Raw genomic sequence first — 9,448 nt, 5'->3', positions numbered from 1 at the left:
GCCCTCTGATTTGTTGAAGGCAGTGTTTCCGTACAGCATGACTGAGGATGCCTGATGGGAAGGACCCGGGGAGGATGGCGTCACCCAGGAACCGTTAGCATCACGGGAGGGTTGGGACTTGATCCAGAAAAACACACAGAATCAGACCCTCCCCAGGCAGCCCCACTGGCTCGGGGCAGCTCCAAGGATGGGCTGGAGGTGGGGAGGAGTAACTGCTTGCCCAGGAAGGCTCCACACCCACCTGCCACAGAACCCTGGGTCTGTTTTATGGCTCTGTGTGTTGAGCAGGAGGAGATCATTCTGTGTAGGCCTTGGCCCCCAGGGAGTAGATTCCCATCTGCTCTTCAGACCAGGAACTTCTGGGAAAAGGGGAAGAGGAAAAGGGAGACAAAATGTGGCATGCCCTGAGCTTCCCCAAGGCGAGGGCTTCCTACTCCCAGGTGACGTGGGGAGCAGAATCGGGAGCTGGGGCAGGCTTCTCTCTGTTGCAGGGGAATGTGGCTGCTGTCTGCCGGCTCCTCAAGCTCCCTTCGCCTCTGACTTCCTGTCTCCTCCAATGCAAAGATGGTTGGGGTTTTGTTGTCAGATTTTTTCCCTCCCACTACAAATCTCTCTCCACATTCTCTGAATATTTTAGCTCTTTCAAGTCGGGTGCCAGGGGACAAAACCACACCAGAGGTCTCCAGGCCTCTCTTGAGTTTCAAAGAATCACTCCCCTCCCCACCACCACCACCCCTCCCTCACCCTGGTCCGGCTGTTTTCTGATCCTTTCTTTCCACATTTCTCTGAGTGAATTGAAGCTCCATCTTTCCCTGCGCTTCTGGAGTTCAGCACGAGACTCTCTTACAGAGCAGGGTCCAGGTTGCAACAGGCAGGGGTGACAAATGTCAGCAGCAGGCACTGCCCACCCTGCCTGCAGAGGAGCAGCTAAGCAAAGCTCAGACCAGTGCTCTTGTAACCAGGAGTGCAGCCACCTAGGGAGTTCCCCAGCTGGTTCGCATCCAAGCCTGTGAGGCCGGGGGTTACCTGAAAGACCTCATGCCTGGTCTTCAGTTGGTTTAACCACCCTGCCCAGAATCAAAGTAAAAGCCGTGTGTCTCCAGCCCACTCCACTGCCCTTTACCTACCCAGGGGCACCCCTGCGTTGTGGTGCTTTCCTTTCCACCGAAGTGTCCTCAAGAACATCACAAGTGCAGAACTCCATCCGGAGTCTAGAAGTGTCTGGCTGCTCTGATCTGACACATGGGAGAGCTTAAACCTTGTGTCATCTGACAGCTGCACCGGAAGTGGCACCTGAGCAGCCCCAGGGAGGGATGTATCTGGGGTTTCGGTGGCCAGCTTTAGGGGCACCAGGGGCCCTGGGCTCCTCTGCTAACGGAGCAGCCAGAAAACTTCACTGGGCTGGCACCCTGGCTGTCCAGGGGAACCGCCCTGGAGGAATCTTGCTCTTGTCCTTCCTGCCCAGTCTTCTGCCTCTTGTCCCCTCATCCTGCTGTCTCGAGACTGGAAGGGGCACTCGGAGGTGGGCCCTCACTCGTTGATAGGCACGGAAGTGGGTGAACTGGCTAGAGGCTCCCCATGTGCATGGTACCTACTGGCAGGGCATAGAATGGGATGACTTTGGAGAAGTAACTTGCTGAGCCTCAGACTCTTTCATCTGTAAAATGGAGAAAACACTCCTAACTAGAACATAGGAACAAGGCCATAATTCTCTAACCCGGGCCTGTCACATAGCGAGAGCCCCATAAGTGGTAACAGGTATGAGTGTACACACCGTGCCATGGTACTGGTGCACGCCTGCAGAAATGGGCCCTCCTATCTCCCCGAGAGATGACAAAAGCAATGCCGGCCAGCAGCAAGTCCCCCTGCACAGTACTACTCAGCCAGCTTAGGAAGAAACCCAGCACATCCACTGGCTAGGCCGACCCCACATCTGTGTGTGAGGAAGTAAGGGTCACAGCAGAGCTGGCCACCTGCCCCAGGTCTGCCAAAGAGAGGCTCACAGCCCCAGGAGGCCAGCAGGGACCTGCCACACATAGGGAGCTTTGGGAGCACTCCGGGAGGTGTCCACAAGGGATGTCTCGATTCCCCTGATGACTGGGAGGTGATGCAGGAGCAGGTGGCCAGCTCTGCCCTGGGCAGGGGACCAGGTACCCTTTGCCACACCACGTTCAAGGCATTTGAAGGCCACTTTTGTATTTCCTAGAGCTGGGCTTGAGAGGCTGGAGACCTGGGACGGGGTCTGATTTCAGACAGAGAAGAGACAGAGGCTGCTGTGGAGAGCTCACTCTTGAATATCTCCCACAAGGGAGGGCTGGAGGGGCACGGGATAAACCCCTCTGGGTGGGATTCTTCTGGGTTGTCCTCCTTTCTTGCCTTGTTACCTGTCTTATCTGGGGGATGAGGCCTGGAGTCCATTTCTGAGGACTGGGGCTTCCTCCAGCCAGTGCTTGGAGGGAGGGCTGTTAGCCTGTCCGCTCCTGGAAAGCGGCGTGTGCCTGGAGTGGATTTGGTTCCTGAGGCAGATGCTGTGGTCTCCCCGACCATCACAAGGACATTGATTCTCTGGAATCTCCTCCCATCCTTTAGTTCATCTCTGCTCCTAGGGGCTAGGCTGGAGTGGTTGGGGTCACCCTGCAGCCCTCCTTCCCTCCTTCCCCCAGCCTGGACCTGGAAATGGCTTTTTCTGTTTACTGCTTGGCAGTGACATTAGGCACTGCCTGGGTGCTGCTATTTAAAAACCATGGGGAAACCCTGTGTGCTGCTGCTGGCAGAGAGAAAAGAGGTCTCCAGTGCAAGTGCATGGCATTCTCACAAGTGGAATATTCCACGGCCCTCATCCAGGCAGAGCAGCCTTGGGACTGGGGGACTCTCAGGGCCTTGGCCACGTGGGACCTATTTTCATGGTGAAGAAATGGAGGAGGTGTGGGCAGAGGGGAGCCAAGCGGTAAAGGTGCCTGGTTTGGTCAGAGCTCAGCGATGTGAGAGGCTTGTGGATCCTTTGAACTGTCAGAAGACCCCCACCCTGGAGCACCCCCTCCTTTCTAGACCCCTGGTCTTTAGCCTCTGGGAGAGGTCCAAGAACTGGAAGTTTCTTAGCTTCAAATGGCCTTGCAGAGGCTAAGCCACACTGTCTCGCCCAGCATCTGTTCACCTTCCTGGGTCACAGGCTCCCTGCTCACTGTGTCTTGTGGGTCTCTGGAGAGCTGCACCCCAACAGGATGGGCATGACCCTGCCCCAGGCTCCGAGGTCTTTATTGTTCAGAACCTAGGCCAGCAACTCCACCTAGCACAGGACTGACCATTCTTGAAGTAACTTCAGAGACACCTGGGTCCCCTCCTTGAACACAGAGGGCTAAAGACCCTCCCACAGACACCCTGGTACCCACATCTCCTGACAGCTTTATCTCCTGGGAGAATGGGAATCTATGTGTCGCTCTTTTTACAAACAAGGACTAAGAACTTGTTCAAGGTCAGTCATTGAGGAGGAAAAGGGGAGCCGGGACTCGGGCCCAGGTTGGCCTGCCTCAACGCCCCACGCTCTCCCGAGGCCTCGCCTGCTCACCTATCTCCCTCTGTCTGCAGCCCCCATGCCCATAGCAGGTCTGGTTCCCAACCACTCCCAGTTCCAGTCCCCGGGCCTTTGTCCCCACACTCCCGCTGCCAGCTGTAGTCTTCTCTTTCTCTCCACTGAGTCTGGCCCCCAGCTGTCTCTGGTGGGTGCAGCCTCCGTAAGCTCCCTCCTTCTCCACAGTGAGCTGCCTTCTAGGGTCCTGGGACCCTTCCTCCATGCATGCTCATTTGCCTCCTCCTGTATACATAAAATATAAACTGGCACGCTGCAGCTGGGAGAGTAGCCCTCTCTAGTCTTCCTCGGAGGGGCCATTGCTGTTGGGATGAGGGAAGGTCACTTTCCAGGGCCCTAGAGTGTCCATCCATCCAAGGAGCCTGGTATACCAGCTGTCTGTCCCTCACCGGACACAGGAAACTGAGGCCCCAGGAGGGACTGTGAAACAGTGCAATGTGTGTTCTCCCCTGATAGGGACATGGCATGGGTTAGGGCGAGCCCTGGATTGAGACACTCTGGGCTCCCCTCCTCCCACACCACCCCTGAAGCCTGTCAGCCCCTGTCCTCTCTGAGCTCTGCTGCAGGGATGTGACCCACGGGTGGTGACCGGCTGTGCACTCTCCCCCTGGACCCACCGTAATGGCTTCCCCCTGAGCAGGGGCGTCCCCACGAGCCACTGCTGGGCTCATCTTGTGTAATGAGGTTTTTCCATTGTTGCCCTCATGCATTGTGTGCCCTGATTGTTTATGCAGCCTTCTGGGTGCTTAGATAAGAAATGCCTCCGCTGGCTCTAGCCTTCTTTGGCGATCTCCATCAGAAGGATCTAGGAAAAACATCCTTGTCAGTAAAGCCTCGGCCCTTTTGTCACATGGCCTCATGGGGCGCTGCCCTCTCTTAAGAATAGAATTGGTCTTGGCGGTGGGGTGAGAGTTTCTGGGATGGGGATAAGAATTACCAGGTTTAGTAAGGAAGAATTCCTCTCCTTAAATAGATTTTAACTTGAAAACCTGATGACAGAAGCGGCTGAGTCTCAGCAAAGAGAGAAAAAACAAAGGAGGCCGATTTCACCTTGACTTCACCTTGGGGACCCAGCAGCCGCCGCTGACCCCTGAGGGCTGCAGCTGGGCGCTTCGGGGCAAGGAGTGGGAACCACATCTTCAGTGTGTCCCCCTGTCAGGCAGTACCACCCTCATCTCCTCTGCAAGCCACATGGCTTCTGCTCTCCGTGGTTTAGCTGGTCCAGGATCCACTTTCTCAGGAACTCACAATGCTTCTCATTCAGGTTCTCATCGCCCCCCTGAGGACGGGTGTATTTTGGGGACACTTGATCTTCATCTCTGCAGCCTGTTCTTATTAAAGTTCACTTAAGGATATTTTTTCTAAAAATATGTTTTTTTTTTGTTTTTTTGTTTTGTTTTGTTTGTTTTTGCTGGGGAAGAAAAGAATTTTATTAATTTTATTTATTTTCAAGTAGTTGTATAAATGAATGTTTAAATCCCAGCTTCGTCATTTACCTCTCTGAGGCTCAGGCTCCACCAGATGGAAATAGAAAAGAATTGACTTGCATGCTCATTGAGAAAATAAAATAAGATGCTCAATATACCTTAGTTCTCCTTTCTGCCCAAAGGGCCTGCTCTCCCCAAACACACATGCACGCACACACATGCACACGCACACACTCATGCACACATATGTGCATATCACACACGCATGCACACACATGCACACATCACACACATGCACATATCACGCATGCACACACTGATGCACACATATGCACATACATGCACATATCACACATGCACACACACGCACACATACGCACACACTCATGCACATATCACACATGCACACACACTCATGCACACATGCACACAATCACATGCACACATGCACATATATCACATATGCACACATACGCACACACTCATGCACACATATGCACACACACATGCACACACACGCACACACACATGCACACTCCCAGTCCTGGCTGTTTTCACTGAAGAAACATCCTGAGAGGGCGGAGCGCGGTGCAGAGGAGAGAGCTGTGGGCTTGCTCCCTCCTGTGTGACCTGAAGCCATCGGTGCAGGTTCTGTTCTGAGGAATTTCTTTAAAGTCTCTCTTCAAACCACTCGCAGGCAAGAGGTGCCTCTGGTGCCTCCGCATCTACGAATTGAATATGAACTAATGTGGTGCGGCTGGGTGGTTGTGTCCTCTCCAGCCTTCCTTGGAGGGGTCGTTGCTCTTGGGACAGGGGAGTTCCCCTGAGCATTTTGCTCAGGCTGTTTGTTAAATGGGGTAAAGCCACCTCCCACCATGTGCCGCATAGGTGATGGTGGTGGCAAGGTCCTCAGAGCCCGTCAAGGGCCCTTCCCATCTTGTGGCCACAGGCAATGAGGGCCTTTGCTTTGAATTTGTCCTAACCAGAAATTAGTGGTTGTCTTTCTAATGTAGAGCTTTTTGTTTGTTTGTTTCTAGAGCAAATCATGGAGGAAGATAAAAAACATGGTGCACTGGTCTCCCTTCGTCATGTCCTTCAAGAAGAAGTACCCCTGGATCCAGCTGGCAGGACACGCAGGTAGACACAGCTCTCCCAGACTTTCCCAGCATGGTGCTCAGCCCTCTGGGGAGGTGCCCTGGACGCTGCATTCTGGGGATCAAAGCTCCAGAGCAAGTTCCCTCCAAGACTTTCTAGTCTGAAATCACAGCCACACTTGCAGGCTGCGGCCTTACCAATGCCTTGTAAATGCCATAGACAACGGACCTCTCTGGAGTCTGTGTTACCCCATCCTCCAAAACATGCATCCTCCCCTCCCTCGGTCTCTGGCTCTTATCTCTGTCTCTTCCAGTCTCTTTCTTTCTGTCTCTCTTCCCGTTGTATTCAATAAGACAGATGAAGCCATCAGTCTTTATAGCTTACCTGCCATTTGTCACCCTGGACAAAGAGGCAAAGCTAACCCCTTCATTGAGCACCTACTGTGTGCCTAAATTGCCATGGTCCTGGGGGTTGCGGCATTAATGGAGATGTAGTTTCTGCCCTGAGGGAGCCTGCAGCTGGTGGAAGATGCGGCCAAGCCACCCCATAACTGCAGGGCGGTGTGCGGTGTTGGGAGGAAGGTGGCTAGGAGCTGAGTCCAGGCAGTGCCGGGGAGAAGGGACATCTGGAGCCGAGGCCCCAGAGCCATCTAGCCCACATGTAGGACCCTCTGGAAGCACTGTCATCTGGAGACATGTCAGGGGCTGCCTGTGGACTTGGCCTTCGTGACTTCACCAGCCTCCTCAGGCCAGCACAAGGTCCCGCATTTCGCTTACCTCGTTGGCCACACTGGCCCAACTCAAGGCACATGGATGGACAGCCTGTGTGAATACTTACTTGGTCTGGCTCAGAAGAAGTGCCACCCAGGTGGGCTGAGCCTTAGGCCCCCCAGCTTCTCAGCCTGCTGTATCTCCCCACCTTGGCTCTGAATCCTGTCCAATCAGGGTTTCTCTACTGAGGCCAGGAGACACCTTCGTTGCCGAGAAGCAGGGCTGATGATGGAGGTGAGGATGAAAATAGCAACACTAAGGAATGACTGGGTCGTGGCACCTCAGTCTCTCACCTAGCTCTGTACCCTTCCAGCAGGGAACACTGGTGAGGAGGAGTCTGGAGTCAAGGAAGCTGGGGAACCAGCTCAGAATTACAGTTAGTGAGTGGGGACTAGGTCTTGAACCCACTCCCCTTAAGGTGCTCAGTCCATAGCAGGGACATAGACACACCTTCAGCCCCAGGCTTAGCCATCCCCAGGGAGGCCCAGACCCTGTGCTGGGGAGGGTGCCTCTGCCAGCTACCTGCAGCCGGAGACCAGGAACCTTCTACACTTGCTCTCCAGGGAGTTTCAAGGCAGCTGCCAATGGCAGGATCCTGAAGAAGCACTGTGAGTCAGAGCAGCGCTGCCTGGACCGGCTGATGGTGGATGTGCTGAGGCCCTTCGTACCTGCCTACCATGGGGATGTGGTGAAGGACGGGGAGCGCTACAACCAGATGGACGACCTGCTGGCCGACTTCGACTCGCCCTGTGTGATGGACTGCAAGATGGGAATCAGGTGAGCCAGGCTTCTCGCAGCCCACATGCCTGCCTCAGTGCAAGCCACATGGCAGGTGCACAGCGTGGCACTCAGGGCTTCCCGGAGGCCTCACAGGTGCAAGGGCAGGCTGAGGAGGCTGTTGGACCAATTAGAGCCTCCCCATCCCCAGGCATCTCCCATTATTTGCAGAGGGTTCCGGGACCTGGGCTTTGCCCATGATGGCCCCTTTCCTTCTCCAGTGAGCAGAAGCCAGGGGCTGGCGGAACCAGAAAAAGGGCACCGGCTGGGTTCTGAGGCCCCCTAGAGAGAAGGAAGAGAGAGCTGCCCTTGGTTCAGGTGGGATCGCTGGGGGTGCGGGGAGCCACCAGGTAGGGAGGTCGCAGGATGGTGACTTCCTGCTGTGTGAGCTGCAGGGGAGATGGGAATCGAGGTCTTTCCATTTCCCCAGCCCTGGTGAGTGGGAAGAGAGAGTGGCTAGTAGAACATGCTGGTTTCCCAAAAAAGACCTGTATCTGCCTAAAAGGAGGAGGAAGCCCCTGACGGAACTCAAGAAACCCACATGGCAGGTCACCGCAGGGCCCCAGGTGAGCCCGGAGCAGTCACTGGGCCTGTGTGCAGGACTGGCTCCCACCCCCAGGTTCCTGACAGGGGCTCAGGCTCACCCTGACACCTGCCCAGGGGATAAGCCTGGAGAGGACTCCAGGGAAGAGGAGAGAGGAAGAGGGGGCTTGAGGAGGCAGGGCAGAGAGCAGACAGGGATGCCTGAGGCCGGCTGCTGTGATCTCGGGGCTCAGTTTTAGGCAGCCGGGTTTTCTCATTACCTCTCAAACTGCTGCCCTTCCACCCTGAGTCATCCACAGCACGGCTCCTTCTCCCCTGTGCAGGCTTGGTGAACCTCCCTAAGGCTGTCGGCCCCCATGGTGTCCAGCGTGCGGTGCTCATGTTGTGGGGCTGGCCCTCACTGCAGCACCCGGGCTGGACGGCCAGATGCCAAGCCCCCCCATGCTTCCTTGCAGGGCTGTCTGGGAGGCCAGGCACGGAGACTCAGAGCTCAGAGCAGAAGGCTGTGTCCACTGTGACTGGTTTAACCGGATTATTTCTCATAAGAGCAGATTGAGAAAGAGGGGTGTGTGTGTGAGAGAGAGAGAGACAGAGACAGAGGCCAGGAGAGAAGAGAGCTAAGCCAGCCAGCATTTCTTTCCTTCTTTCCTTTCTTCTCTCTCCTCCTGGGAGTTCTGTCCTAAAATCACACCCTGCCACTGACTGTTGTGTTCTCTCGCCATCACTCACAGGGAAAGAATGGGGGATGGAGAAGCACAGGCCCCACTGTTTGCTCTTGAGCCATCCCTGGCCACCTCCCTCCCACCATCCAAGTTCCTTACTATCTTTAGCCCACAGGGACCTGGGATAGGGCAGGGAGGAGAAAGAACATGCCCCCAGCCAGCCCGAGGCCTTTGCTTTTCCCGAGTCTGATTTCTGACCCAGGATGGCATCCACTGGTGCACCAGAATGTGTCCTCTCAGGGGAGGCCCAGCCCTTCCTTCCAACCCAGACAGCAGCAGGACTTCGCAGGTGACCACATGGAGAATAATCCAAGTGGTGTCCACTCAGACCTGGCCAAAAAAGTACGGCCTGTGTGAAGAACACTGGCTGGGCATTTCTGGAAGTCGGCTGTCCCAAAGACACAGCCAGCCAAGCACAGGGCCAGGCTGCCCCAGAACCTGCCTGCTCCTGCTGGGGACAGGAGCCCCGCTTCCTGCCCCAGGGCTGCCCCCACCCAGCCGCTTGACTTCCGCAGCTTCTCTCTGATT

The 9,448-nt window shown here is 55.4% G+C and overlaps 1 protein-coding gene across 1 annotated transcript in view, besides 6 other annotated features; it reads left to right on the top strand.

Moving 5' to 3' along the window:
• The window catches only part of ITPKB (inositol-trisphosphate 3-kinase B), a 107,593-nt gene that overhangs the window by 84,461 nt on the left and 13,684 nt on the right, over positions 1-9,448 (top strand). The window contains exons 3-4 of the mRNA NM_002221.4: positions 6,051-6,150; positions 7,442-7,655. Of these exons, the coding sequence (NP_002212.3) occupies positions 6,051-6,150; positions 7,442-7,655 (314 nt within the window). The remainder of the gene's footprint in view (positions 1-6,050; positions 6,151-7,441; positions 7,656-9,448) is intronic.
• Positions 458-1,049: an enhancer, noted in NCBI's record as "H3K27ac-H3K4me1 hESC enhancer chr1:226841474-226842065 (GRCh37/hg19 assembly coordinates)". NCBI's record gives its function as "activates a minimal SCP1, AML or CMV promoter by ChIP-STARR-seq in naive H9 embryonic stem cells {active_cell/tissue: H9 hESC(naive)}" and the evidence as "EXISTENCE:reporter gene assay evidence [ECO:0000049][PMID:30033119]".
• Positions 1,045-1,234: an enhancer, noted in NCBI's record as "active region_2659". NCBI's record gives its function as "activates an Ori minimal core promoter by ATAC-STARR-seq in GM12878 lymphoblastoid cells {active_cell/tissue: GM12878}" and the evidence as "EXISTENCE:reporter gene assay evidence [ECO:0000049][PMID:35858748]".
• Positions 4,680-4,974: a silencer, noted in NCBI's record as "tiled region #9391; K562 Repressive DNase unmatched - State 20:ReprD". NCBI's record gives its function as "represses a minimal TATA promoter and a strong SV40 promoter by Sharpr-MPRA in K562 cells {active_cell/tissue: K562}" and the evidence as "EXISTENCE:reporter gene assay evidence [ECO:0000049][PMID:27701403]".
• Positions 4,795-4,884: an enhancer, noted in NCBI's record as "active region_2658". NCBI's record gives its function as "activates an Ori minimal core promoter by ATAC-STARR-seq in GM12878 lymphoblastoid cells {active_cell/tissue: GM12878}" and the evidence as "EXISTENCE:reporter gene assay evidence [ECO:0000049][PMID:35858748]".
• Positions 7,151-8,042: an enhancer, noted in NCBI's record as "H3K4me1 hESC enhancer chr1:226834481-226835372 (GRCh37/hg19 assembly coordinates)". NCBI's record gives its function as "activates a minimal SCP1, AML or CMV promoter by ChIP-STARR-seq in naive H9 embryonic stem cells {active_cell/tissue: H9 hESC(naive)}" and the evidence as "EXISTENCE:reporter gene assay evidence [ECO:0000049][PMID:30033119]".
• Positions 8,163-8,363: a silencer, noted in NCBI's record as "peak735 fragment used in MPRA reporter construct". NCBI's record gives its function as "represses an SCP1 promoter by STARR-seq MPRAs in K562 erythroleukemia cells {active_cell/tissue: K562}" and the evidence as "EXISTENCE:reporter gene assay evidence [ECO:0000049][PMID:32103011]".

The sequence above is a fragment of the Homo sapiens genome, chromosome 1, assembly GCF_000001405.40.
Source record: "Homo sapiens chromosome 1, GRCh38.p14 Primary Assembly".
Lineage (NCBI taxonomy): Eukaryota > Metazoa > Chordata > Mammalia > Primates > Hominidae > Homo > Homo sapiens.
This window is presented reverse-complemented; position numbering and strand designations above follow the sequence as displayed.